This window comes from Homo sapiens, chromosome 20 (assembly GCF_000001405.40).
Source record: "Homo sapiens chromosome 20, GRCh38.p14 Primary Assembly".
In the NCBI taxonomy this organism is placed as follows: Eukaryota; Metazoa; Chordata; class Mammalia; order Primates; family Hominidae; genus Homo; species Homo sapiens.
In genome coordinates, this window is record NC_000020.11 from 63,826,946 (window position 1) to 63,854,661 (window position 27,716).

Consider the following 27,716-nt stretch of genomic DNA (forward strand, 5'->3'; position numbering starts at 1 on the left):
ATGACTCGCTCCACCAGGACCGGATGACTGCCAGGTCTGGAACCGTGCGGGTGGATCTCCGAGTGGACTCCCTTCCCTCGAGTCACCTTTGGGCTCCGGTGCCACTCCCCACAGCAGTCCCCACAGCAGTCCACACAGCAGTCCAGGCACCCTCCTCCCAGCCTTGGGCCGTTTCTTGCCAGCCTCTGCCAGCCACCACACTGGGTCACATCAGTGGTTTCTGCGTGCCCCCAACCCACCTCCGTGGGAACTTTGTCACCAACCTGGCCCAAAGTCTGGTCCACAGCAGGCCCTCAGTAACACCAAAGAGCTGTCATGAATAGGAAACCCCGAGTGTCTCCGGTAAGACGCAAAAGCCCATCTGTCAAAACACAAAAGATGGCCGGGCGCGGTGGCTCACGCCTGTAATCCCAGCACTTTGGGAGGCCGAGGCGGGTGGATCATGAGGTCAGGAGATCGAGACCATCCTGGCTAACAAGGTGAAACCCCGTCTCTACTAAAAATACAAAAAAATTAGCCGGGCGCGGTGGCGGGCGCCTGTAGTCCCAGCTACTCGGGAGGCTGAGGCAGGAGAATGGCGTGAACCCGGGAAGCGGAGCTTGCAGTGAGCCGAGATTGCGCCACTGCAGTCCGCAGTCCGGCCTGGGCGACAGAGCGAGACTCCGTCTCAAAAAAAAAAAAACAAAAAAAAAAAACCACAAAAGATCTGCAAATGCTTTTGAAAAATACACTAATGTTTCTCAACTTTCTATTGTAAAATAGCTATGGTAGCAAATTTTTAATCCAGATAATGATGTTTAGAAGCATTTAATAATTTTAAATTGTAAATTAGAGTAAAACGGCACTGCTGATACTCAACTATGCAACAGAACCATTCAACAGAACACTTTGCATAAATCATACTTAGGTCAAATTTCACTGGTTTCATTTGTTTTTATGCTTTAACAGGACAATGTTTTATTTGTTTATTTATTACTTAATTTTATTGTTTTAGAGACAAGGCCTCGCTCTGTTGCCCAGGCTGGAGTCCAGTGGCACAATCATAGTTCATTACAGCCTCAAACTCCTGGCCTCAAGCGGCCCGCCCGCCTCAGCCTCCCAAAGCACTGGGATTACAGGCGTGAGCCACCACGCCCAGCCTCAGAACCACTTTTAGGTTGTTAAAAAACATCCTTTCTCTTTTCCATCTATAAACAACACCATTGGGGCCCTTTGTCATCACCAGCAAACCAGAACACCAAGCCTGGGTCTGTATATGTGAGGCACTCAAAGGGTCTAAGTGATAACAGAAAAGCAGGAAAATCCCTCCCATGGACCCCATGGCCTAAGACCCCAGCACTCCGCACAAGTTCACAGCTACGCCGCAGCCGCGGCAGACGGCAAGAGGACCACAATCAGGATAAGGCGGCGGCCTCTCAAAGCCCTGAATAAGTCTGTGGCCTTAATAGAGATTTTGAATCAAACATTTATTCTTAGGAGTCAGGCCATTCAAGCAAACTTAGCAGCAACAAGATGAATTTTTCCCCCAGGGGAGGGGACAGATTCAAAGGGTATTTTTTTTTTTAAATCTGCTAGAAAAACCAGTAGAGGGAAGTATCAACCATCACTCAAGGTCACTCATGAGACTTCCAGGTAAAACATGCAAAGCCCAGGGAGAAGCAGCAGCCTGAGTTTTTACAAGAACGGTACTTAGGCAAGAACACGAAGTCCCCAGGACAGGGAACCTACCACGGCAGACGCCGTGACACTGGGTGTGCGGATGGGAAGGGGCAAGGACTTCTAGACCTTTCCTCTCACTTTAACTCAGCAGTGGAGCGGGTGCCTGGGCACCAGTCACGGCAGTGGGAGGAACCGGCTCCAGTTCTCAGGCTGTGGAGCCGTCTAGGCACCGTGCACGAAGTGGGTCTCCAGGGCTCTGAGAGGCCGGGCTAAGACCTCTGATGGAGAACAGAGCACTGGAGCTGCACCGCTGTCCCAGAAACACAGGCCACAGGGACAGAGTGGCCCAATTTCCCTTAATTTAAAAACCCCACGTCAGGGCAGTGTTGGAAAGTTCACTCTGCTAAAATTTAATTCAGTGTTTGTAAATAGTACATCGTCTGACAATAACAACTGTGTACCCCCCACGGCATTTCCTCTAAATCCTTGGAGCAGTTTCACCGTTCACAGGGTTTACCTCCTGACCTCTGTGACCACCAGGGGCTGGGGAGGGACGGAGGACGCAGGGCACTGGGTCAGCCTGGCCCTGGTGGAACTGACCTGGGGGCCCTTAGGTAACAGTCCACCCAACCCGAACATCCGAAACAGGAGTGGAACTCAGGTCTGAGCACAGAACGACTCATCCTCACACAAAACAGCTAAACCCGAACAGAAATCACCTCATCTAAGCAAAAGAAAACTCTCACGTTCAGGATAATGCTGTCAGTGAGAGGCTTAATTAAATGCTTGTCCCCAGGCTGGCCTGAAGGCAAGGCGGAATTTCGGATTTCTAAACACCTCAAAGTGAGTGCATTCCACGCCCCAAGGAGAAATCTGACAGTAACTCCCCAGCCCTCTTCCTTCAGTTACGGAGAAGATGTCTAGCTTTTTAGGGGACACAGTAAGTTCCCACCTAAATTTGCAGTAACTTGTGCCCAAGTACTCCCCTCACTCCTCAGTCCTTTCTGCAGTGGTAACCAGGCTGAGGTGCCCAAAAGTGCCAGTTGGAAACACGTAAAACACACCGAGCAGAAAGGTTCTACTCTGATAAATACTGTCGCTTGCTTCATTATTCATGTGAAAAACCCCTTCTATACATTTCCTTTTGATGAACAAACTATTTTCCACTCTTGTAGAGTGAAATAGTGCCTTGCAGAGGCAGCGTGAGTGCCAGCAGCAGAGATGTATCCAGTCTGTTACCCAAACGGGAAGTTAGCTCTGATAATAGAGCCAATATGAAAGATTCTACAATCGATACAATTAAAATGCCCGTGAGTTCTCGGCGCACAGGTGTCTGCGCCCAGGCCGCGCGCTAAACACGTTTCTAATTAGCATTTCTTTAAACAATGCTGATCACAATCTTGCCACCGTAATCCACTCCAAATGCATCGTTGAGATTGCAGCACGGAAAGCGAGAGAGGAAATTCGCTGCGAATCTCAAACTTTCTTTTGTTTATATTTCTTCGCTGTCAGAAAATATCCGTTCTTCGCCCCATCTGGTCTGTACCCTGGCTCCTCGGTCCAGCCCTATTGTGTGTGCTTCGTTAAACCTACAAACAGTGAATCTGTCAGCGGGGCCAGGGGAACCCCAACTAGCAGGAGCCCTCCCTCTGGCGCAGAGAATTCCCCGTTTGCCTTAGGGATTGAGTTGTCAGACACCGGCTCGCGCTCCCCCGCGAAACTGACATGTCTATTTACAGAGAAACAAAGACGCGGCTCGCAGCGGACCCCGCTTCCTCCGCGCGCCCCGTCCGCCCCGCGCGCCCCGAGCCCTCCGCGCCCCGAGCCGCCCCGCCCCGAGGCCCCTGCGCCCCGGTTCGGCCGGCGATTAAGATGGAGACCAGGCCGGCGCCCGGCGTCCGGGGAGACAATGACCCCCCGGCCTCAGGGCGCCGGGACCCGCCCGCGCCCACCTCCCGCAGTTCCGACTCTTGGCAAACTCGGCGCGGGCGGCTCCGGGTGCGGCTGGGCTGTGCCGGCGGGGGGCGCGGGCGGGGGGCGCCAAGACGCCCCCGGGCTGCCTCGGGGCCAGGCGTTGACGCAGCAGAAATTACCAGCTGGAAAATTCCCCTCTCGGAGGTGCCGGGGAGGGAGCGCGGCGGCGGCGGGAGGTGCCGGGGGCCGAGGGGCCGGGGCAGCCCAGCCGCCTCCGCGCTCAGCCCCGCGGGGAACCCGCGCCGCCCCCGCGCGCCCCGCCCCGCGCCGCCGGCCTGGGGGGCACCCGCGGGGGCCGGGCCGGGGTCTCCGCCGCCGCCCCCGGAGCCCGCGCCGCAGCTGGGAGCGCCGATGGCCCCCGGGAGGGCGCCCCCGCGGGGCGGGGCGTGGCGGGGCGGCCGGCGGCGGGGGCGCGCCCGGGCTCGCAGCGGCCCCGGCTCCCGGCTCCCGGCTCCGGGCCCGGCCCCCGCCGCGATGCGCCCGCCCGGCCGCGCGGACAATGAGCCGGCGCCGCTTACCTGTGACCCCATGGGGCGCGGGCGAGGGCGGGCGCCGCGGCCGCCGGGCCGGCGCCGGTGATCGCCGCCGCCGCCGGGAGGGCGCTGCGTCCGGGCGGGTCCGAGCTGCGCGCTCGCCGGGGCTGCTCGGTCCGTCCGTCCGTCCGTCGGTCCGTCAGGCCGGCGCGCGCCCCCGCGCCCGCTCCAACCCCGCGGCCCCCGCCGCCCGCGCGCGCGCGCCCCGCCCGCGGACCCTGACCCCGCCCCCCGGCGCGCGCCCGGCCGCCGCTGATTGGCCCGCGCCGCGCCCCGGCCGCGGCCACCGCCCCGGGCCCCGCCCACGCCGGCCCGGCCGCCGGCCCCGCCCCTCGCTCGGCTCCCGGCGCCGCGCCGCGGGGTCGCAGGGGGCCGCGCCGGGGGTCCGTTCTCCCCCCCGCGGGCAGCCGGACAGCGGAAGTGCGGGCTGGAGCTCGCTGGGCATTGTGGGAAGCCCCCTCCCCTGGGCTGGCGGGGGGCTGGGGCGGCGCGGCGCGGGGGTCCCCCTGGCCCCCGCTGCGCCCTTGCCCCGCGAGCGCGGAGCAGCCTGGAAACACCCCACGGGAGCGGCGACCCCGGCGAGGGCACCCGCTCCCTTCCCGGGCCGCGCACCGGGCGCTGCCCACGCGCAGGTTCCTCGGGGGCGCGCGGGTGCCCAGGTCACCGGCCGTCCCCGCGCCTGACGCGCGGTTGCACTGCGCGCGTCTCGCAAACTTGGCGACTCCCCCAGCCCGGCCGGGCATCAACGCGGGCCGCTCGCGGTGCGGAAAAGGCGCCCCCAAGGAAGGCCGCCCGGGGTGCGGGGTCTGGAAGGGCCTGGGCACCGCGCGCGCCTACCCTCGGGGGCCTCGGCGCACCCGGAGATCGGCGCACCTCGGGCGCAGGCCTCGTGGGGGTGCCCGCCAGTGGGGCTCGCTTTTGGCTGACTAGGGGCACCGGCGGCCGCGCGTGGGTCCCTCCCGTCGTGTTGTCTGCGGGGGACGAATGGCTCCGGGAGGGGGCGGGAACCAGCGGCCCGGGCCTCGCCCCAGCCCGTGTGCAGCCCCGATCCGAACGGCCTGGGACGCGTCTCCACCACTCGGCGCCCGGACTCTGCGCGTCGCTTCTCGCCTCCGCCGTCCTCAGCCCTCGGGCGGGTAGAGTGGGAAGCGCGGCCCCGCATTCCTGGCCGGCCTGCGCAGGGGTAAAGGCCACCTCGCTTCCTCTCCCCGGGCGCGGCGGGAAGGGAGGTGAGCCTGTGGCCGGCAGCCGCGCGAGGGAGTCGAGCCCGGCCCGGCCAACCAATGGGGAGGCGCCCGGGCCGTCCAGCCTGCCTCCCTGCGGGCCCAGCGCAGCGGATTCCTCGGGAGGTGGGAGGCGGCGGCCCTATGGGTGCTTTCAAATCTGGATGTGTGAGGCGCATTCAGGAGCGGCAGTGGGAGGCGGCTGAGGGCTCTCCATGAGTGAGCAAAGGCGAAGCGAGGTGTGGCTGCCGGGACCAACGCCTGGGACACTCCCTTACTGCCGTCGCGGGCGCCTGGAAATGGCTGTGCGGACACCCCGTTCCCATCCCCTCGCCAAGGTCGCCGGGATGGCACTGCGGCCCAGGAAGCCCCGTCGCCGGCCTACCTCGCGCGGCACCCTCTCGGTGGCACTGCCTGCTCTGGTCTGAAACTGTAGCCCCAGCCTCACCGACCTTCGGGAAGTGGGGGCTGAGCACAACCACCCTGAGAAGAGGCGGCTTCCAGGAGGGTCTGGCGGGTCACGTGCATCCCCCTTGGAGAAAACAGCACTGCCTGCAGGAGCCCCCACCTGCCCACCCAGAGCCCAGTTGTACCCCACGGAGGAAAGGAGGCCTGGGGAGACAGGAGAGCTCGGGCCCACCGAGCCAAAGCAAGGAGGACCAGAGCCCTGATGCCTGCCCCAAGGGCCTCCCGCAGAGCCTGCCCATGCTCTCTTGCGCAAAAGAGAACCCCAGTCTCTCCCAAGATGTCTGGACCTCCCTAGACAGCCTCCAAGGAGAGCAGTGTTGATGGTTTGCCATGTCCGTTGTCCATGCAGGGATGGAGAGCAGCAGCAGCTGCCTGGCGGAACACACAGTGGCACTCAGTCATCGCTTAGGAGGCCTGCCCATAAGAACCAAACCTTGATCTCACCACGACCCAGGCCAACCCCACCTGCCAGGTTAGGGCTGCCTGTCTTGGTAGAAACTTGCTGAGGGCCGGGCGCGGTGTCTCACGCCTGTAATCCCAGCACTTTGGGAGGCCGAGGCAGGCGGATCACGAGGTCAGGAGATCGAGACCATCCTGGCTAACACGGTGAAACCCCGTCTCTACTAAAAATACAAAAAATTAGCCAGGCGTGGTGGCAGGTGCCTGTAGTCCCAGCTACTCGGGAGGCTGAGGCAGGAGAATGGCGTCAACCCGGGAGGTGGAGCTTGCAGTGAGCCAAGTTCGTGCCGCTGCACTCCAGCCTGGGCGACAGAGCAAGACTCTGTCTCAAAAAAGAAAAAAAAAGAAACGTGCTGAGTTCTAGAATGAACGGGGCGGATGAGGCTCTGGGCCCCCTCTCACCTGGGAGCCCCACTCCTCCCCGCTTCCCCCTCGGCAACACTGCCAGTGACGGGACAGAGACTCCTGACTTTTCTGCTCCAAGAACCAACAGAAGGTCAAGCAGCCTGGAGACGAAGACAGTATGTCAAAAAGGAAGAACCAAGACCGGTCTCAGAGACAGCGCCCTGATTAAGTCCTACAGACCGTTATTCCAAGAGCTGATAAACCCCATTACTATTTAAAAGAAAAACAAACAAAAACCAGCAGCAGCAGCTGCAGCCTCTCAGCCGAACTGGGAGGACGAGGAGGGTGGAGTAGTTGGACTCCTACAGCCACGTGGAGTGTCTGCTCCGACGGGCATGCTGGCCCCGTGGCCCAGGAACCTCAGGTTTGTTGGAGCCCAGCATCTACTGAGCTGCTGCTGGGATTAGACATGAGACGGGGGGATGCCAGGCTGGGCCGCGGTGCCCCCTCTTCCTAGGGCCCCGGGACACTTGTGCAGGTGACGCACACCAGGCCTGGGGGCCACAGATGCAAGGAGGGATCTGCCGCCTGACAGCCGGCTGGGAGGCAGCTCTGGGAACAGAGAATGTGAAGTGTGGCCTCAGCAGCATTGGGATCAGGGCTGGGAGGCCAGCACATGGGTGTCTGGGAGGGTCCAGAGGGTGGGGCCCCTGAGGGTGACATGATGAACTGGACATGGTCCCTGACCTCGCCAAGTGGGTGAACAAGACAGGTGAACAAAAGGTCAGGTCTCTGTAGGGCACACTTGTCCACGCTGCATTACGTGGTCATTCCTGAAAGTCACCCCCAGCCATCTGGGTGAGCACGTTGGGAGCCTGTCCAAGGGACCCTGAGGCCTATGAGGGATGAGCGGCAGCAGGCCAGGAGTTCTGGAGGACGGGGGGCTCAGGGCAAGGTGCAGAGGCTGGGCAGCCCCACGGATGTACCTGCTGAGGGACGTGCCCCCCACAAACCCCTGGGAAAACTCAACCAGAGACACAAATGGAGAGCCATCTGGCTGGCAGGGCCCCCCGAGGGTCCTGGCACAGCCTCGCGCTTATGGCCTCTCCGCAGACCTGTGTTCACAGACTCCCTGCACCACTTACCCTGCCAGCCGGCCACCTGCCCTCCACCCTCACTGTGTGGCTTCTAGGGGATGGGGATCTGGGAGGGGACCCAGCCCCATTCCAGGTGCTCTGACACCACCAAGAGAGTAGGGATCTGCCTCTCATCCTCAGGAAGGATGGCCTGGGAGGAGCTTTGGGAAAGAAAATTCCCGAGGAACAAGATACCCCTTCCTGTCTGTGTCCCCACCCCCCCCCAAGCAGCTCCCCAACCTCGCCAGGGCCTTTACTGCCACCCCCTCTTCTCCCAAGGAGGCATTTCCTTGTCCACCCCCAGCTGGGATTTCTGTGGTTGTCTTTGTCTCAGTCACTGGTCAGGGAACCTGCCTGTTTATTCACCAGCCAGTGGTGTTGCTCAGTCGTCCCCATGGCAACAGCCCTGGGAGTCCTGCCCCCTCCCAGGGAACTGCCCAGAACCTGTCCCTGCCCTCTCCAGGCCTCTGCTGGGAGCCCAGACAGAGGGAGAGGCAGAGGGCAGGGCGGGGAGAGAGGCCCGCCACCAGCCTGAGGATGCTGGGGCTGTCCAGGGAGCCGCCCACCACACGTCATCCTGGGTCCTGCGGGTGGACTGGAGGCCGGCCGTGGGCTGCAGGAGAGCCCCACCCACGGGCTGGGGGAGGTGGCCTTGTCGAGGCTGGATAGAGGTGGGCCTCCTCTCGGGCTTGGCTTGGCCAGGTCCAGTGCCAGCTGGCCCTGCCCTCCCACCCAGGCCTCCCCAGGACCACCCTCCAGAGCTGCTCTGGGGCCAGGGGCTACCTGCCAACCCCACGGCTGCCCCACCCCAACTGTCCTCCGGGCCTGCGCCCCTGCCAAGCCCCAACTGCCGCTCCAGCTGCCACAGCCAACTGTCGACCGGTCTCCATTCCAAGCGCCTGCTCACCCCCAATCGTCCTTCCAAAATGCTGCTGCCAACTGCCAGCCCCCTCCCTTCCTGAGCCCTGGCTCCCACCACCACTCCAGGCCACCACACCAGGGATCTGCATTCCAGACCTTCCCTGGGACAGAGGCCAGGCCACACCTGCCGTGTCCCTAATGGGATGGGATGGGGCGGGGGAGGCACTGCACTGAAGGTCTGAGACCTGAGGCCCCAGCAGACAGAAGGCAAGGGGCAGGGAGAGCGCGGGCAGGGCAGGGGAGAGGGCAGGGGCAGGGAGAGCGCGGGCAGGGCAGGGGAGAGGGCAGGGGCAGGGAGAGCGCGGGCAGGGCAGGGGAGAGGGCAGGGGCAGGGAGAGCGCGGGCAGGGCAGGGGAGAGGGCAGGGGCAGGGAGAGCGTGGGCAGGGCAGGGGCAGGGGAGAGCGCGGGCAGGGCAGGGGAGAGGGCAGGGGCAGGGAGAGCGCGGGCAGGGCAGGGGCAGGGGAGAAGGCAGGGGCAGGGAGAGCGCAGGCAGGGCAGGGGAGAGGGCAGGGGCAGGGAGAGCGCGGGCAGGGCAGGGGAGAGGGCAGGGGCAGGGAGAGCGTGGGCAGGGCAGGGGCAGGGGAGAGCGTGGGCAGGGCAGGGGCAGGGAGAGGGCAGGGGCAGGGAGAGCGCGGGCAGGGCAGGGGCAGGGGAGAAGGCAGGGGCAGGGAGAGCGCAGGCAGGGCAGGGGAGAGGGCAGGGGAGAGGGCAGGGGCAGGGAGAGCGAGGGCAGGGGAGGGGGCAGGGAGAGCGCGGGCAGAGCAGGGGCAGGGAGAGCGCGGGCAGGGCAGGGGAGCGGGCAGGGGCAGGGAGAGCGCGGGCAGGGCAGGGGCAGGGAGAGTGCGGGCAGGGCAGGGAGAGCGCGGGCAGGGCAGGGGCAGGGGCAGGGGAGAAGGCAGGGCAGCCCATCCTCAGTGCCAGGGGCCACGTCAGGCCCAGCGCAGGGGTGGGAAGGCAACCAGAGCGCAGCTGGAGCAGGCCCTGGGAGCTGCAGGGCGGAGCTGGACCTTCCCTCAGAGGGTCTGTGAACAGCTTGGCCTAACCACAGACCCCGGGAGGGTCCTCCCAGCCATGTTGGGGGGAACGGGCCCCTCCCTACCAGCCTTGCACAGCTCAGGGTGGAACCAGCTCCCAGGCCTCAGCTGTCCCAGGCCATCCTGGACTCCCTCCTGCTTCACCACCTGGCACCCGGGGCCGGCCTGAGTCCCTTTAAGTTCCAACGTGTGGCTTCTCAGTCCCAGCCCTGGCCTTGCTGCCCCTTCCCTCCTTGGAGCTTTCTCTCTGCATTCATCCCAGTGGTCCCTGATCCCCACCTCCAACATAGGACCCCCCTCCATATCCCCCAGCCCGCTAGACCGTATCCCTCAAACACAGCGGGTGCCTGCAAGTTGGCTCACCAGGCCTAGGGGAGGCACGGCTGCCCTTGCGGGTCAGACCTGGGGCTGTAATTCCATCCCAGGCTCTGGACCAGCCGGTCAGCACCAGGAGGTGATGGGGGCCGGGGCCTCAGTCCCGGCTGAAGGGACACAGCTGCTCCCCAGGGGCCCCTGGCCTCTGAGGGCTCGCGTTGCAGAGGCGGGTGATGGCTCTGCAGATAGCCACTGCAGGTGAAATGGACACCTGGCTCTCCCTGGTGTCCCCTCCAGGAGCTGTCACTGGGCAGTCCGCCTTCCAGGATGGGACATAGTGGAGCAGGCACGGGGGGCCATGTCAGCCTGTCAGTCGGGCTGGCCCTGGAGGAAGGTTTGCACCTATGGTGTACCAGGAATCTCCCTACTTGGGGAACAGTGAGGGGAAGGACTCTCCAGGGTCACCTGGTCCCACCTCCGGTGCTGGGGCCTGGGAAGGAGAGAGAAGGGAGGTGGCTGTGGCCCGTCCCCTTCCACCAGAGGGGGGCTGCTGGGGTTCCCTTGGTGGATATGGAGAGGCCCCAGCCCTGCACAAGGCCAGCCTGTTGCCTCAGCCTCATTCACTCACTCACTCACTTGCAGGGTAGCATTCACGGATCATGGCACCTACCGCGTGCCAGGACGTGCTAGGTCTGGAGAGCCAGAAAAAACCCCTTGTATTGCAAGAGTGGAGAGTCGGTGACAGGTCAGCAAATTCATAAACGAGCTCTTCTGAGATAAAAAGGAACTGGGAATGGGCCCCTTGGGGACATGGCTGGTGCTGGGGCAGAGCAGGAAAAGGCAAGCTGAGCTCCTGGCCATGGTGGGATGACAGGGGGCAGGAGGGCCAGAGAGGAGAACAGCAGAATCATATAGTGCTGGCTTATGACCCCAAGCTGGAGCGCGTGCTGATATAAAAAATAAGAACAATTAAATGCAAGAAAGACACCAACCTCCCCTACAAAAGAATTCCCAGTAATACCTGTAGGTTCCGAGAGCAGAGATTACCCCTATGCACACACCATGAGTGAGGACTGGGTCTAGGGACTCCTTTCCAAAGAGCGGAGTCAAGACAGGCAAAGAGGAACTTGGCCGAGGAGGCGACTGGCAGGCACCACCTTGGCCAGGTGACCAGGTGAGCGTCGCCAGGTGATCGCACGGATGCCCCACAGCTCTGATAAGAGGTGACTCAAAGAGCACCCCACCTCTGTGAAATCCTTCCCAAACCCAAAACCTCAGTCTACTGCTGAGAAAGTACATCAGACAAACCCAAACTGAGGGGCTTTCTTTTGTTGTGGTTGCTTTTGTTTTTGAGACGGAGTCTCGCTCTGTCGCCCAGGCTGGAGTGCAGTGGCAAGATCTCGGCTCACTGCAACCTCCACCTCCTGGGTTCAAGTGATTCTCCTGCCTCAGCCTCCCAAGTAGCTGGGATTACAGTTACCTGCCACCACACCTGGCTGTTTTTTGTATTTTTAGTAGAAACGGATTTTTAGTAACAAGACCATGTTGGCCAGGCCGTTTTTGAACTCCTGACCTCAAGTGATCTGCCCGCCTCGGCCTCCCAAAGTGCTGGGATTACAGGCATGAGCCACTGTGCCTGGACACAAACTGAGGGACTTTCTACAAAAACACCTTGTCGGTGATCCTCAAAGGTCACCAAGAACAAGGAAATCTGAGAAACTGTCAGACAGGAGAGCCCGAGGAGACGGGACAGCTCTAAACATTGTGGCACCTGATAGGGCCCTGGAGCCGAAGAAGGCCATCAATGGCAGGACTGGTAGACTTCAAATAAAGTCCGTTCTGCGGGGGAGATAAACGGACCCCAACGTGGGCTTCCTAAGGCAACCCAGCAACACAGGATGGCGACGTCAGGGAAGACAGAGGCTTCGTGACAGGTGCATAGGACTCTGTGCTTTGCAGTGTCACACATTCTACTGGCCAGGCTGGAGTGCAGTGGCACGATCTCGATTCACTGCAACCTCCGCCTCCCGGGTTCAAGCGATTCTCCTGCCTCAGCCTCCTGAGTAGCTGGGATTACAGGCGCCCGCCACCACGCCCAGCTAATTTTTGTATTTTTAGTAGAGACGAGGTTTCACCATCTTGGCCGTGCTGGTCCTGAACTCCTGACCTCTTGATCCACCCGCCTTGGCCTCCCAAAATGCTGGGATTACAGGTGTGAGCCGCTGTGCTCGGCCAATTTTTTTATTTTTAGTAGACACAGGGTTTCACCATGTTGGCCAGGTTGGTCTCAAACTCCTGACCTCAAGTGATCCACCACCTCGGCCTCCCACAGTGCTGGCATGACAGGTGTGACCCACCGCACCCCTCCTGCAATGTCGCCCATTTTCTGAAATCTAAAATTATTCCAAAATAAAGTTTGTTTTTTAAAAGGGGAAAATGCAAAACCAAACAATCAAAGAAAACCACCTTCTTTTGACCCTGGCGTTGGGAGTTAAGCAGCCTCTCCAGGCCTGTCTCAGGCAAGATGCTCATTTTTGGTTTTAGAATTCGGGGGTTCAGGGTGCTCCTGGCTCTGCCCAGCTTGGAAGCACACACAGGCCACAGGGACCACAGAACCTCCAAGCTGAGTCAGGGTACGCCCCGTGGAAGGACGGTTGGTCCCCGCGTTCACACCTGCGTGTTACGAACTGTGAGCCCTCACACTGCGGAGGAGACCTACCAGAACGCCGTCCTGAGAGACTTTGACAGAGCTCAGCCTGGCATCGGCCTGCAGGAGCCTCATCCCTAAAGGTGATTCCAGCTCTGTGTTGGTCTCTGCTCAAGGTAACAAAGTGCTGCCAAAATGCAAAGTGCAAACTCTATCCCAGTGCAAACTTTCCACAGCTAAAGCACTTTCCCTGTTTTCCACTCAGTCCTTCTGTGATTTTCCATTTCCCCAGCGCCTCTTGGGTTACCCCTTCGTTACTTCCCCATACCCCTTTTTTGCTCCTTTTCTGTTCTCCCTTTAAAAACCTGGGTTGGCCCGGTGCGGTGGCTCACGCTTGTAATCCCAGCACTTTGGAAGGCCGAGGCGGGCGGATCACGAGGTCAGGAGTTTGAGACTAGCCTGGCCAACATGGTGAAACCCTGTCTCCACTAAAAAATACAAAAATTAGCCAGGTGTGGTGGTGGGTGCCTGCAGTCCCAGCTACTCAGGAGGCTGAGGCAGGAGAATGGTGTGAACCTGGGAGGCAGAGCTCGCAATGAGCCGAGATTGCAACTGCACTCCAGCCTGGGGGACAGAGCAAGACTCCGTCTCAAAAAAAAAAAAAAAAATACTGCAGTCTGCCCCCACACCGCAATCTGAGTAAAACCTGTCTTTCCGCCTTCAGGTGTCTGGGATTGGGTCTCATTCCGGGTCCCATGCCTCTGCCTGAGTCTCAGCCGCGTGTCTGTGCTCCTGCCAGCGTATGCTTGCTCATGTGTGTCTGTGGATGGTGACTGTGTCTGCCTGTGTGCACCCATGTGTAGTGGGTCTGTGTGCTTGCTTGCTGGTGGCTAACCATGTCTGTGAGCGTGTCATGCCAACTGCATTGCACTTTCTGATGTCATCTGCCAGCCACGTCCAGTTCAGGACATTGGGCAAAAAATGGTCCTGCCCTTCAGGGGCCCGCCCTACCAAGGGTGAGCCGTGAACCAAGTCTCAGGATCGAAGGCAAGGTGCCCCTCTGGAGGGAGGTGGGGCTCTGGGAAGCTTGGGGGCCGTGGCCATGGAGATGCGGGGGGATGGGGAGTGCCCAGCCTGAGCTGGACAGGGTTGGGCCAAGCCCTGAGCACGTGCACGAGGAGTACAGATGAGGCTCAGAGGCCTTGCTGGGACCATGGGAATGAGCCAGTTTCCAACAACTTGATGTCAAGCCAGGGCTTCTGGGCTTTTCCTTGGGCTGAAGATGCTATTAGGACTATGTTTATTTATTTATTTATTTATTTATTTTTTTGAGACGGAGTTTCGCTCTTATTGCCCCGGCCAATGGCACAATCTCGGCTCACCACAACCTCCGCCTCCCAGCTTCAAGCGATTCTCCTGCCTCAACCTCCCAAGTAGCTGGAATTACAGGCGCCCCTCACCGCACCCAGCTAAATTTTTTTGTATTTTTAGTAGAGATGAGGTTTCACCATGTTGGCCAGGCTGGTCTTAAACTCCTGAACTCAGGTGATCTGCCCGCCTTGGCCTCCCAAAGTGCTGGGATTACAGGCGTGAGCCACCACATCCAGGGTATTTATTTATTTACTTATTTTATTTTTTGAGATGGAGTCTCGCTCTGTTGCCAGGCTGGAGTGTAGTGGCGCGATCTCGGCTCATTGCAACCTCCACCTCCCGGGTTCAAGCAATTCTCCTGCCTCAGCCTCCCGAGTAGCTGGAACTATAGACGTCCACCACCACACCCAGATAATTTTTGTATTTTTAGTAGAGACAGGGTTTCACCATGTTGGCCAGGATGGTCTCAATCTCTTGACCTCATGATCTGACTGCCTTGGCCTCCCAAAGTGCTGGGATTACAGGTGTGAGCCACTGCATCCAGCCCCTTATTTATTTTATTTTATTTTATTTATTTATTTATTTTTTTGAGATGGAGTCTCGCTCTGTCGTCCAGGCTGGAGTGCAGTGGCACGATCTCGACTCACTGCAAGCTCCACCTCTCGGGTTCACACCATTCTCCTGCCTCAGCCTCCCGAGTAGCTGGGACTACAGGCGCCCGCCACAACGCCTGGCTAATTTTTTGTATTTTTGGTAGAGACAGGGTTTCACCATGTTAGCCAGGATGGTCTCGATCTCCTGACCCCGTGATCCACCCTCCTTGGCCTCGCAAAGTGCTGGGATTACAAGTGTGAGCCACCGTGCCCGGCCTATTTTTTGAGACAAAGTCTCACTCTGTTGCCCAGGCTGGAGTGCAGTGGCGTGACCTCAGCTCACTGTAACCTCCACCTCCTGGGTTCAAGTGATTCTCATGCCTCAGCCTCCTGAGTAGCTGGGATTACAGGCACACATCACCATCCCTGGCTTATTTTTGTATTTTTGGTAGAGACAGGGTTTCAACATATTGGCCAAGCTGGTCTTGAACCTCTGACCTCAGGTGACCTGCCTGCCTCAGCCTCCCAAAGTACTGGGATTACAGGTGTGAGCCACCGCGCCCGGCCGCTATTAGGACTTTAGAACGAGAGACAGACTTGATCTAATAATGATTAGTCAGATAAATTTTTAGGACGTAGGGCCGATATGCCCTGGGATTGTGCAGAAGTAGGAGATGGGAGAGAAGTCAAAGGAGGGCCAACATCTCTTCACAGCCAGTGTGGGTGATGGCAGATGGTTCATGGTACAGGAAACAGAGGGGTGTGGACATGGTACCCAGGCTGGAGGAGAGAGGCCAGGGCTGCAGGTGCGTCCTGGGGGGAAGAGGCTGGGGAAGCCCCCGGAGGAAGCCAGAGGGAGCAGAGCCGTGACCCCCGGGGTGCACAGGGGCTGGGGTCGGGGAGGCCGTGCAGCGGTGAGGGGACCTCAGAGCACTGCTTCCTCTTCCCTGTTTGGGGTTTCAGAGGTCCCTTGTGCAGGGGCTAGGGCAGAGCCCCATCCTTAGGACACCTAGGCCCCAAGTGGGGCTTCCACAAGCTGCTTCCGGAGGATGGAGATGTAGCACCCAGTCCAGATTATAGCTTGACCCAGGGCTCTCTCCCTACCTTGGCTGGGGTTTGGGACGGCAGAATCTGTGCTCTGGGCTTCTGGGTCCCCATCAAAATGGAACAAAGTGACCTGCAGCCCCAGTCAGGTAAGACTAGCCCATTCTTCTCCTGCACAGTTCTGGCTAAAGCCTCCACCCCCAAGCAGGTGATATTCCCTCCCCAGATATCCCACACAGCTCGGACTCTGGGGTCCCTTTCAGATTAGCACAGTCTGATGGGAGAAGAAAACACCCGAATTGAAAATAGAACGAACGCCTGTAATCCCAGCACTTTGTGAGGTTGAGCACAGGAGTTCGAGACAAGCCTGGGCAAGATGGTAAGTCCCGGTCTTTACAAAAAATATAAAAATTAGCTGGGTGTGGTGGCACATGCCTGTGGTCCCAGCTTCTTGGGAGGCTGAGGTGGGAGGATCACTTGAACCCAGGTGGTTGAGTTTGCAGTGAGGTGAGATTGCGCCATTGCACTCCAGCCTGGGTGACAGAGCAAGACCCTGTCTCCAAAAAACAAAAAAAAGCAGAACACCACCTCTCTCTCCTTGCTGCCCATCCACCTGCTCGGATGGCCTTGGCTCCACCTCTGATCTGTACCTGTGCACGCCTCATGAAACATGAATGCCAGGCCTGCACAACCTGCTTCTGTTGAGAGAGGTGGCCGGCTGAGCCGCTGTTCGTGGCCCGCTTGGCCGCAGCCTCCGTCTCTCCCACCAGTCCGGCTGCACCACCCACACTGCTGCCCAGCGTCTTCCCCACTCTGGGCTTTGCACCTGCCCTTCCCTCAGCCTGGAACAGCCCTCCTGCCCGCCTGGTGATTCCCAGCATCCGGGAAGACTCACCTCCAGCCCCAGCTCCAGGCCATCATGATATAGCCCTCCCCTCCTGCCTGAGGATCCCACAGGCCCAGACCCCAGCCCTGCCTGCACTTTCTCTCTATCCTTCCCCTTCCCCTTAAAAATATCCCGGGGCCTCTGGAAGTGGAAGGGGTGGGATGGAGGAAAGAGAGCAGGAGGCATCCTGGCTGCCCAGCCGAGGGCTGATTCCCCAGGTCCCATGCCAGTGCCAACCAGCCTGGCTCCAGCACGGTGAGCCCCACATCTGCAGCCCCACCTGTGTGGCTTGTGTGTGCCCCTGAGTCCTGAGGGCTCTGAATCTGTCCTGGCTAGAACTGGAGTTACCACCCGCTGTGGGGCGGGGCGAGTCTCCCGCTGCTCTGAGCACCAGGCTGCACCAGGGAACCCACCTCATGGAGCAAAGCTGCAGAAACACTGCCTTTCTCGTGGGCGTTGTTACCCTAAGTGGGTCGGCAACTGCAAGGTGGACGGTGGGGCGGGCGCCGAGGGCCGCTCCCTGGCTGTGGGCTGTGCTCGCACGTCTTGGATGCCCTGTGGGTACTTCCTTTCTGTTGGGATTTGGGCTCAGGTTTATCGCTGGCTGCTTCTGGGAACCCTGGGGGCTAAAGGACCCTGCAAGACGGCTGGGTTGGAGGAAAGGGGCTTGCCTGGTCCTGGGAGCTGGGCAGATACGTGGGTGGTGAGCAAAAATTGGGAGGGCTTCTCATCTGGGCCCCCCGCCCCTGAGGGACCATCATGGTACAGAATCAGGGAGCATCAAAGGGAAAACCTAGGATGAGGGACTGGAGGGGGACTGGGGACTTGGCCAAGGCCTGGGTGAGGGGGTGCCCTGCCCAGGGGTGGGGCTGCAGGAAGGAGCGGCCATTCCACCTGAGTTGGCCGCCCCTGCCTCATAGCCCCCAGACCCAGGGTGCTCAGAGCTCCCCTCTTCTTTCGGAGCCTTGCGGGAGGCCCTGCTGCTCAGGGGCTGGTGGACACCACCAAGAGTTGGGTTCTGTAGCCCCCACTGCCACAGGCTGGGCGGGCTCTGGCCCCTCCTCCCTTGGGGGGTCCTGGTGCCGGGGTGGTTTTGAAAACCAGAGACTGGAGGCCTTATCAGACCACAGGTTTTCCTGAGGAAGGAAGGGTGGGTGTGGGCCTCCAGGATGGGCGCCTCCTCTGGGTGTGCCCAGCCTGGTGGAGGGCACACATGCACTGCCCATCCCTCCTGGGGGACCCCAGTCCAAGGCCCTGCCCCACCAGAGACAAGCAGACTGCAAAGGCTGGACCCAGTAGCGTGTGGGTCCAGGGCTCAGGCCCAGGGTGGGGTGTGAACTCCCTGAAATCACAGCAGATGCCAGCATCCTCCGGGATAGTGTGCCTGGCTCCCCCAGCCGAGGCTCAGAGGAATTTGCAGCCAGTTCACGGGCAGTTCCACTCCGAGGGATATGTCCAGTGGGAATCTATACTTGGGCACCAAAAAACAAGCAAGAATGTTCCAAACGACCCTTTTCATAATAGCCCCAACCTGGAAAACCCAAATGCCCATCAGTGCTGGGTGTGGCCTGTCATCCAGGGGACAGTGACTGTAGCCAGGAGGAGCCACCTTCAACGCCAGGCACCACCTGGCTTCCACCATGGCCCCTGCTTCAGACAACGGGAAGCAGAGGCCAGAAGCACAGGCAGAGCTGGTGCCCAGCACGGATTAGGTTCGGGAACAGGCAGGACCAGTGCAGGTGGATGGGGTCCATGAATGATGGCCTCTGGGGCATTGGCCAGCAGTGCCTTAGGGGCCACCTGGGTTTGGCAATGTCCTGTTTTCTTGATCCAGGTGCTGGTGACAAGAGGCATTCAGTCTATGGGAATTCAGGAAGCCACATACTTAGGATGAGTATGTTTTTCTGCATGTATGTGATACTTCTGTGATGCTTTTCTGCCTGTATGTGAAACTTCAATAAAAAGTTTCACACACAAGCCAGGCGCGGTGGCTCACGCCTGTAATCCCAGCACTTCGGGAGGCCGAGGTGGGTGGATCACCAGGGTCAGGAGACCAAAACCATTCTGGCTAACACGGTGAAACCCCGTCTCTACCAAAATATAAAAAAATTAGCCGGGTGTGGTGGCGGGCGCTTGTAGTCCCAGCTACTGGGGAGGCTGAGGCAGGAGAATGGCATAAACCCAGGAGGCGGAGCTTGCAGTGAGACGAGATCGCGCCACTGCACTCCAGCCTGGGCAACAGAGCGAGACTCCGTCTCAAAAAAAAAAAAAAAAGTTTCACACACAGGCCTGGCGCGGTGGCTCACACCAGTAATCCCAGCACTTTGGGAGGCAGAGGTGGGCGGATCACAAGGTCAGGAGTTCAAGACCAGCCTGACCAACATGGTGAAACTCTGTCTCTACTAAAAATACAAAAATTAGCCGGGCGTGGTGGCGCACATCTGTAGTCCCAGCTACTTGGGAGGCTGAGGCAGGAGAATTGCTTGAACCCAGAAGGTGGAGGTTGCAGTGAGCTGAGATTGTGCCACTGCACTCCAGCCTGGGCGACAGAGTGAGAGGCGTCTCAAAAAAAAAAAAAAAAAAAAAGTTACACACACAAGCAGAAACCCTCCCCTGACCCCTCCAGAGGGAGGAGCATTCATTCCCTGAGGCCCCTGCCTTCCTCCTGCCCTGTCCCATCTGGGCCCCTAAGATGACCTTGCTCCCTCCAGGGAAGTCGCAGGGCGGACTGGGCTGAAAGCCAGGGAGAGACTGCCGGGTCATGGCCCCAACCCTTCGTGGAGGGAACGCAGAGGAGGCGGCAGGAGAGAGCAGCCCCTGAGGGAGGTGCGGGTGGGGCTGGGCTCAGAGCAGGGCAGCCAGGCTGACGCCCCGGGGCCCGCTCTGCCTTTCTTGGAAGAGTCTGGAGGAGCCATGTGGGGTGGGGGTGTCCCACAGCCGTGCAGGTGGGGCTGCGGATGTGGGGGCTCACCCTGCTGGAGCCGGGCCGGCGGGCCGGGGAGCACTGGCTCGGGACCTGGGGAACCCGCCCTCCGCTGGACAGCCAGGATGCCTCCTGCTCTCCTCCCTCCATCCCAACCCTTCACTTCCAGAGGCCCCGGGCTATTTTTAACTTGGCTTAGCAGCCGGAGCCGAAGGTGGACCCAGCCCTGCAGGGAGTGGGGAGGAGGGAGGAGCTGCAGCTGCCGTCCCGCCCCCACCCCTCCCAGGGTTCAGGCTTTCTAGTTGGGTGGGTTGGGGGTGCTGGTCATTCTTGACCTTAGAGGAGAAACATCATTCATTCCACTCTGCAAATATAGTCACACTCAGAGGCCACACAGATACTCCAAGATTCAGACACAAGCCTGAGACACAAACTCAAAAACACACCTGGGGGTACACCCAGGCTCACTCTGTCACACACACACCGAGACACACACACACACACAAACACTGACACACACAGACACACACACGCAGAGACACACACAGACACTGACACACACACAGAGACACACAGACACTGACACACACAGACACACACATAGACACTAACACAGACACAGAGACACACACATGCAGAGACACACACACAGACACTGACACACACAGACACACAGACACTGACACACACACATGCAGAGACACACAGACACACACTGACACACAGAGACACACACACAGACGCTGACACACACAGACACTAACACACATAGACACTGACACACACAAGCAGAGACACACACACAGACACACACACTGACACAGAGACACACACTGACATACACAGAGACACACACACACTCTGCCTAGGGACAGCTGAGGAGTGTGTGAGACTCAAGGACCCTCAGGACACAAGGGCAGATGTGTGTGGACGCTGTGGGCAGACCTCACCAGATGCCTGGAGACTCAAACACCCTGAAGGCGAGCCCCACCCCTTCATGGACACACACAGGCACAGATGCCCAGAGACCACCAGCTGTGGGGCTTGTGGGGAGGGTCGGACCCTCCGGTCACACCCGGAGGCCGAGGTGGGGGAAGCTTGGGGGTGGAGCTGCCCATGCTGCCTGCTCTGCCCCTTCCCCCAGCACCAGCCCAATGTCCCTGAATCCCCCTGAAGTGGACGGACAAGCTCCAGGGGTCTCCACACCCTTCCCACCAAAGGGCGGGCTTGTGAAGGGCGGGCTTGTGGCCTCCCCTTTCCCCCATGCTCGCCCCCACACTCTCAGGGCAGGAAGCCCCAGGAGAGGATGGCTGCAGGGGAGGCAGCGGAGAGCTGACCTCAGAATGTGCTCAGCCCGGCCCCTTCCTTTCCCTGCTCCCCACTTCCCCTCTCCTCCCCCAGCCTTTGTTCCGTGGAGCAACTGCCCCCTGACCCCCGCTGAGGGAATTGGAGTCAGTCCTGGAAAAAAACCCCAGGTGCTGGCTGGGGCCACTGCCTCCGGATCCAGCGAGAGGAGGGAGCTGGGGGCTGGGAGAATTGGGGCTCAGGTGCCAGGGTGAGGGGCAGGGGCTAGCTTCCACCTCACACCCCACCTCCACCCCAGGAGGCCCAGGGCAGCTCCTAGAGGAATGCGGAGGGCAGGGGAGGGGACAGGACATCCTCTCGGCAGGACACAGGACGCCCAGTCCGGAGGTTCCCAGCCCCGGGCAAGGCCACGGGGGAAAGGGTCACTGGGGCCTGGGGCTCACCAGTTCCACCCTCAGCCAGCAGTGTCCACAGACAGTCCAGGTCACCTCCAGTGGGGGCTGGAGGTGTTGGCGGATGAGGCCTGTCATGGCCGGAGTGGAATGGCCGCCCCCGCCCCCAGGGGCCCCACGTGTGTGGGAGGCACCGGCAGGCCTGGGTTTGTCCTCAGCTCTGCAAATCTTGGGGTCGCCACCTCCAGGAGAGGCCTCAGGCTGGCCCTGGCCCTCCCAGGCCCAGGACAGGAAGCCCAGGGACAGTCGATGGGGTGACAGCCATGGGGACCCCAGCTCCTGGGGGCTGAGCAGCAGTAGAACCCGACCTCTGCTCACTGCCCTGGAAGATGAGGGACCCTGGAGGGGCCTGAAGGCACTAGAAGGAGAAAGACCTCCTGCGCTCACCTCACCGGTTCAGCCAGGACCCAGGAGACCCTGCCGGTCTGGGAGGCCTGGAGGGTTCCACCCCTGCTCCCACATGATCTCCTGGCTGCAACTTCTTGCCCAACACGCCAGCTGGCTGGTCATCTGTGAGCGCTTCTGCCAGAGTCTGTCCCAATCACCTGAGCAGCAAATGATGCTAAATGTCATCTAAAAGCAGCCTTTCAAACGAATGACCAAAGGCCGGGCGCGGCGGCTCACACCTTAATTCCCGCACTTCGGGAGGCCGAAGTGGGTGGATCACCTGAGGTCAGGAGTTCGAGACCAGCCTGCCCAACATGGTGAAACCCCCGTCTCAACTATAAATACAAAAAAAAATTAGCCGGTGTGGTGCCGCGCACCTGTAATCCCAGCTACTCAGGAGGCTGAGGCAGGAGAATTGCTTGAACCCGGGAGGCGGAGCTTGCAGTGAGCCGAGATCACACCACTGCACTCCAGCCTGGGTGGCAGAGCAAGGCTCCGTCTCAAAAAAAAAAAAAAAAAAAAAGAATGACCTCAACACAGACCTTGAGTGTCAATTTGCCTCTGTTTCCCTAGGAGTTAAAATTACCAGAGGGGATCGTGGGCACAGTCACCATTTGACCCAGGATTTCTGCTCCCCGCATCCAAACAACAGGAATGCTTGCCCCGAAGTGAGGTGCTCCAGATGACACCTCTGCCAGGGACGCCGTCTCCTTCCTCCGCCACCTCTCCCGTTGTGTTTTTTGAGGTTCGACTCAAAATCTTTACATGTTTTTAAAAATTGAGTTTTGCCGGGCGCGGTGGCTCACGCCTGTCATCCCAGCACTTTGGGAGGCCGAGGCAGGCGGATCACAAGGTCAGGAGGTCGAGACCATCCTGGCTAACATGGTGAAACCCCGTCTCTACTAAAAATACAAAAAATTAGCCGGGCGTGGTGGTGGGCGCCTGTAGTCCCAGCTACTAGGGAGGCTGAGGCAGGAGAATGGCGGGAACCCGGGAGGCAGAGCTTGCGGTGAGTCGAGATCGCGCCACTGCACTCCAGCCTGGGCGGCAGAGCGAGACTCCGTCTCAAAAATAAAAATAAAAATAAAAATAAATAAAATAAAAATAAAAATTGAGTTTTATTGAAGCATAATTTTACATACAACGATATTTACCAATTTTAAGCATCCTACTTGAAGAGCCTGGACAAAGGGAAAGCAGGAAACCACCTCCGCTGCCGCCGGGTCCCCTGCCCCGCCAACCAACCACGCATCTGCCACCTCCGCTGCCGCCGGGTCCCCTGCCCCGCCGACCGACCACGCATCTGCCACCTCCGCTGCCGCCGGGTCCCCTGCCCCGCCGACCGACCACGCATCTGCTTTCTGTAAGGATAGTTTGGCCTTTGCTAGGATTTCACGTAAAGGAGGCCCTAAGCACGTGGTCTTTTGTGTGTGGCTTCTCTCACTTAGCATCCTGTTTTTGGGATTCACCCCGTAGCGGCGGCCTTGTCTTCCCACCGTAGGGATGAGCCACTGTTCGCTTATCCACTCGCCAGCTGATGGATACTTGGTTTTCTCAGCTTTGCGAACGCTGCTGCTACAAAGGTTTGAGGCGAGTCTTCCTGCGGACGTGTTTCATCTCTTCTGGGTAAATACCTGGGCGCGGGATGCTGAGTCACGCTACGTCTCCTTTCCTGAATCTCTTTTTTTTTTTTTCTTTGAGACGGAGTCTCTCTCTGTCGCCCAGGCTGGAGTGCAGTGGCGCGATCTGGGCTCACTGCAACCTCCTCCTCCCGGGTTCAAGCAATTCTCCTGCCTCAGCCTCCCGAGTAGCTGGGACTACAGGCGCCCGCCACCACGCCCGGCTAATTTTTTGTATTTTTAGTAGAGATGGGGTTTCACCGTGTTAGCCAGGATGGTCTCGATCTCCTGACCTCGTGATCCGCCCGCCTCGGCCTCCCAAAGTGCTGGGATTACAGGCGTGAGCCACCGCACCCGGCCTGAATCTCTTTATATGTTTTGGTCACCCCATGACTGCATCCCTAAGAGCAAGGACCTTGCCTGTGCTGCTTGCTGCAGTGACCAGAGCTCAACACGACTGCTCGCCTGGAGGATCTTCTGAACAGACACTCACCCACTGGGTGAATGGGTGGATGGCAGCGGTGCCAGGACAGTGGGTCCTGGTGATGCCAATGGGGAGGTGACGATGGGCTGGAGGCACCACAGAAGATGCCAACGGTGACTGCGGTAAATGAGGTGGCAGCGACCGCGGCCGTCAGCAGTGATGCAGCCGTGGGTGGATGGTCGTAATGGGGAAGACCTCACATAGCCTGGAGACGCCTGCTTCAGCCCTCCTTGAAACTGAACTCACCTGGGGAGATGTCATGTGGCCCCTCCACTTCCCCCTACTTCAGGCACCCATGCTCACTCACACCTTGGAGCCAGCTGTCACCAAAACCCACGCACTCTGAAATGACTACTTGCAGTTTCCCCCTCTGTGGTGCAACTGCCCCCCTCCCCGGCTGTTACACCTCACCAAGCGCTTCGCTCCAGGACAACCCTCCTTTCTCCAAAACAGGCGGCCTTCCCCTTTCTTTGGCTTCCTTCTTATCCAGTTCAGATTTTGTGGTCCACTCTTAGTCACTCTCTCGAAAATGTGGGAAGTCTTCAAATGTCCCTCCTTTTGTGGCACCCTTCTGAGAACTTCAGCCTTGCCAGCACCTAAACCACTGCCCATTGTAGGGAAAATCAAGCCAGGAAGATGGGGGCCACCCAAAACCCATGTCTGGACGTTCTGCTGCACCCGGTCCTGGGGAGTCCACACCTGGCAAACGGAGACGTCTATCCACTCAGTCCCCACCCGCTGCACGCCGTGGTCTTTCCCAAGCACTCCGGACTTAGTCTCTGGATGGTTTGTATGTTAAGCTGTTCCCTGCTCTCCAGCCTTCCCACCAGCATTTACCACCCATTACCTCGCTGACATGCAGACAGGAGCTGAGAAATGTTTAGCTGAGAAATTTTCAGGAGCTTCTTAGAAGTGGCTTCCTTTCAGCCGGGCACGGTGGCGCACGCCTGTAATCCCAGCACTTTGGGAGGCTGAGGTGGGCGGATCACGAGGTCAAGAGATTGAGACCAGCCTGGCCAACATGGTGAAACCCCATCTCTACTAAAAATACGAAAATTAGGCCGGGCACGGTAGCTCACACCTGTAATCTCAGAACTTTGGGAGGCCGAGGTGGGCGGATCACAAGGTCAGGAGTTCAAGACCAGCCTGACCAACATGCTGAAATCCCGTCTCTACTAAAGATATAAAAATTAGCTGGGTGTGGTGGCGTGTGCCTGTAATCCTAGCTACTGGGGAGGCTGAGGCAGGAGAATCATTTGAACCCTGGAGGTGGAGGTTGTGGTAAGCCGAGATCGCGCCACTGCATTCCAGCCTGGGTGACAGGGCGAGACTACATCTCAAAAAAAAAAAAAAAAAAAATACAAAAATTACCCGGGCGTGGTGGCACACGCCTGTATTCCCAGCCACTCAGGAGGCTGAGGCAGGAGAAGCACTTAAACGAGGGAGACAGAGGTTGCAGTGAGCCGAGATGGCGCCCCTGCACTCCAGCCTGGTGACAGAGCGAGACTCCGTCTCAAAAAAAAAAAAAAAAAAAAAAATTGGCTTCCTTTCCAACTCCTTGCACCAGTTTGCAAAGCCCTACCCATCTCCCCACTCCCCATCCCTAGCCTCATTCCTCCTGGTCCCTAAGGTCCCAGCCACTCTGGCCTCTGTTCTTATTCCTTCAGCACTAGGGCCTCTCCCAGGGTCAGCCCCAACTCCACAGCCTAATTCACAGGGTGAATTCCTACCCATCTCTCTGGTCTCAGCTCCTGATCCACCTCCCCTCCAGGATGGCAGCTGCTGGTGTTTGCTTCCTGCAAAACCCTTCTTGGCCGGGCGCAGTGACTCATTTCTATAATCCCAGCACTTTGGGAGGCTGAGGTGGGCAGATCACCTGAGGTCAGGAGTTCGAGACTAGCCTGACCAACATGGTAAAACCCTGTCTTTACTAAAAATACAAAAATTAGGCTGGGTGTGGTGGCTCACACTTGTAATCCCAGCACTTTGGGAGGCCAAGGTGGGTGGATCACCTGACGTCAGGAGTTTGAGACCAGCCTGGGCAACCATGGCCAACATGGTGAAACCCCGTCTCTACCAAAAATACAAAAATTAGGCCAGGCATATTGGCTCATGGCTGTAATCCCAACACTTTGGGAGGCTGAGGTGGGAGAATCACCTGAGGTCAGGAGTTGGTGGCACGAGTCTGTAATCTCAGCTACTCGGGAGGCTGAAGCAGGAGGATTGCTTGAACCCAGGAGGCAGAGGTTGCAGTGAGCGGAGATCGCGCCACTGCACTCCAGCCTGGGCAACAGAACAAACTCTGTCTCAAAATAAATAAATAAATAAAATTAAAACATAAAATAGGCCAGGCTCAGTGGCTCATGCCTGTAATCCCAGCACTTTTGGAGGCCGAGGTGGGTGGATCACCTGAGGTCAGGAGTTTGAGACCATCCTGGCCAACATGGTGAAACCCCGTGTCTACTAAACATACAAAAATTACCCGGGCATGGTGAGGGGCGCCTGTAGTCCCAGCTACTTGGGAGGCTGAGGCAGGAGAATGGCTTGAAACCGGGAGGCGGAGCTTGCAGTGAGCCGAGATGGCGCCACTGCACACCAGTCTGGGCGACAGAGCGAGATTCCGTCTCAAATAAATAAATAAATAATAAAAATAAAATAAAATAAAACCCCTCTTTGGGTTAAATCCCTACTTGCTCACAGCAAATACCCTGAGGGCAAGGATGGGACCGGCCAGTGCTTCGTCCAGCCCAGCAGGCCCGTGACATACGTCCGCCGAATGAATGATTCCCGTTAGGGATGGTAAAGGGGGAAGGTGGGGAGATCAGGTCATCACCAGATGCAGAGAATGACTGAGGTAGGGAGAACTGCCTTCATCCTGCCCTCCTGGTATCCATGGTGGGAGACCACCCAGGCCCAGAAGGACATCAGCTGGTGGAAGGGGAAGCCCACCTGGAATGTGACAGGCTCCAGCCGCCTTCACCCTCCTGGTCCCGGCCTCCACTCAGGTGAGCCACCCTCACCCTCCTGCTCCCCGTCTCCACTCAGGTCATCCACCCTCACCCTCCTGGTCCCTGTCTCCACTCAGGTCATCCAACCTCACCCTCCTGGTCCCGGCCTCCACTCAGGTCAGCCACCCTCACCCTCCTGGTCCCTGTCTCCACTCAGGTCATCCACCCTCACCCTCCTGGTCCCTGTCTCCACTCAGGTCATCCACCCTCACCCTCCTGGTCCCTGTCTCCACTCAGGTCAGCCACCCTCACCCTCCACTCAGGTCAGCACTGCCTGGGACTTTCCAGGGGGCTGAGCGGCTGACCAGGAGCCTTTGCTGGGGCGGCCTGGGCACCCGGGCACTTCCTGCAAGGCCTCCCTCCTTGCAGCCCCAGCTCCTGGCCTGCTCCTTCCTCCTCCGCCCCAGGGGCTTTCCACAAAGCCTGAGGCCTGCTATTTTTAGCTGAGGGAGAGGGCCCAGTTCCTGGCCCCACTGCCGCCCTGAAGGAGCCTGGGCTAAACTGGGGCTGGGGTTGGGTCTAGGGGTTGGGGGAGAGGCTGCAGTCCCCAGCCCAGGCACACCTGGAGTGCAGAGGGGACGCTGCAGGCTGGGCTCCCAGCCCAGTTGGTGGACCAGGCGCTTACCCTGGGGAGGTGGGGCTTAGGGCCTGGGTGGGCTGCCGCCCACTTCCTGTGGCCGCACCCCAGTACTTCAAAGGCTGCTGGCCGCCCTGTGGTCAGTCCAGGCTCCCACGCAGCTGGAGGGGCTGGGCGGGCACACGCACCCCTGGCAGCTGGCCCCCCCTCCCCTCAGGGCAGCTTCAAAGCAGCAGGGGTGGGCAGCCCCCGTGATTAGCACGGATCCCAGGGCTGGGACGGGAGACACAAGGCGGTAATGGAGGCCCTGGCAGAGCCCCTCCTCTGCTCCTATGCTGCCCGTCCCACTGCC

At 59.3% G+C, this 27,716-nt stretch overlaps 1 protein-coding gene and 1 non-coding gene across 10 annotated transcripts in view, besides 10 other annotated features; both read right to left on the bottom strand.

Annotated features, from left to right (window-relative positions):
* The window catches only part of ZBTB46 (zinc finger and BTB domain containing 46), a 90,226-nt gene extending 83,276 nt beyond the window's left edge, over window positions 1–6,950 (bottom strand). For 5 of the 9 annotated variants that reach the window (XR_936500.3, XR_001754167.2, NM_001369741.1 and 2 more), the window contains exon 1: window positions 4,152–4,319. The gene's annotated coding sequence lies outside the window, so the exon portion shown is untranslated. Of the gene's footprint in view, window positions 1–3,611; window positions 3,693–3,752; window positions 3,886–4,151; window positions 4,320–5,003 lie in introns of those variants that run through there. The other 4 variants (XM_011528548.3, XM_005260197.5, XM_005260198.5 and 1 more) reach the window with 4 other exon arrangements.
* Window positions 2,063–2,754: an enhancer, noted in NCBI's record as "H3K4me1 hESC enhancer chr20:62460361-62461052 (GRCh37/hg19 assembly coordinates)". NCBI's record gives its function as "activates a minimal SCP1, AML or CMV promoter by ChIP-STARR-seq in primed H9 embryonic stem cells {active_cell/tissue: H9 hESC(primed)}" and the evidence as "EXISTENCE:reporter gene assay evidence [ECO:0000049][PMID:30033119]".
* Window positions 4,337–4,476: a silencer, noted in NCBI's record as "silent region_13187". NCBI's record gives its function as "represses an Ori minimal core promoter by ATAC-STARR-seq in GM12878 lymphoblastoid cells {active_cell/tissue: GM12878}" and the evidence as "EXISTENCE:reporter gene assay evidence [ECO:0000049][PMID:35858748]".
* Window positions 8,091–8,385: an enhancer, noted in NCBI's record as "tiled region #10064; HepG2 Activating DNase matched - State 4:PromP". NCBI's record gives its function as "activates a minimal TATA promoter and a strong SV40 promoter by Sharpr-MPRA in HepG2 cells {active_cell/tissue: HepG2}" and the evidence as "EXISTENCE:reporter gene assay evidence [ECO:0000049][PMID:27701403]".
* Window positions 8,091–8,385: a silencer, noted in NCBI's record as "tiled region #10064; K562 Repressive DNase unmatched - State 8:EnhW". NCBI's record gives its function as "represses a minimal TATA promoter and a strong SV40 promoter by Sharpr-MPRA in K562 cells {active_cell/tissue: K562}" and the evidence as "EXISTENCE:reporter gene assay evidence [ECO:0000049][PMID:27701403]".
* On the bottom strand, window positions 16,317–21,367 carry C20orf181 (chromosome 20 putative open reading frame 181). Its single transcript, XR_001754451.1, has 2 exons — window positions 21,281–21,367; window positions 16,317–16,963 (listed from the first exon to the last, which is right to left on the bottom strand). It is a non-coding gene; the product is annotated as a chromosome 20 putative open reading frame 181 (transcript).
* Window positions 16,963–17,640: an enhancer, noted in NCBI's record as "H3K4me1 hESC enhancer chr20:62475261-62475938 (GRCh37/hg19 assembly coordinates)". NCBI's record gives its function as "activates a minimal SCP1, AML or CMV promoter by ChIP-STARR-seq in naive and primed H9 embryonic stem cells {active_cell/tissue: H9 hESC(naive and primed)}" and the evidence as "EXISTENCE:reporter gene assay evidence [ECO:0000049][PMID:30033119]".
* Window positions 19,468–19,617: a silencer, noted in NCBI's record as "fragment chr20:62477766-62477915 (GRCh37/hg19 assembly coordinates)". NCBI's record gives its function as "represses an EF-1alpha promoter that drives an FKBP-Casp9 reporter gene in an ReSE screen in HepG2 liver carcinoma cells {active_cell/tissue: HepG2}" and the evidence as "EXISTENCE:reporter gene assay evidence [ECO:0000049][PMID:32094911]".
* Window positions 24,041–24,200: an enhancer, noted in NCBI's record as "active region_18252". NCBI's record gives its function as "activates an Ori minimal core promoter by ATAC-STARR-seq in GM12878 lymphoblastoid cells {active_cell/tissue: GM12878}" and the evidence as "EXISTENCE:reporter gene assay evidence [ECO:0000049][PMID:35858748]".
* Window positions 24,281–24,380: an enhancer, noted in NCBI's record as "active region_18253". NCBI's record gives its function as "activates an Ori minimal core promoter by ATAC-STARR-seq in GM12878 lymphoblastoid cells {active_cell/tissue: GM12878}" and the evidence as "EXISTENCE:reporter gene assay evidence [ECO:0000049][PMID:35858748]".
* Window positions 26,555–27,408: an enhancer, noted in NCBI's record as "H3K27ac-H3K4me1 hESC enhancer chr20:62484853-62485706 (GRCh37/hg19 assembly coordinates)". NCBI's record gives its function as "activates a minimal SCP1, AML or CMV promoter by ChIP-STARR-seq in naive H9 embryonic stem cells {active_cell/tissue: H9 hESC(naive)}" and the evidence as "EXISTENCE:reporter gene assay evidence [ECO:0000049][PMID:30033119]".
* Window positions 27,652–27,701: a silencer, noted in NCBI's record as "silent region_13188". NCBI's record gives its function as "represses an Ori minimal core promoter by ATAC-STARR-seq in GM12878 lymphoblastoid cells {active_cell/tissue: GM12878}" and the evidence as "EXISTENCE:reporter gene assay evidence [ECO:0000049][PMID:35858748]".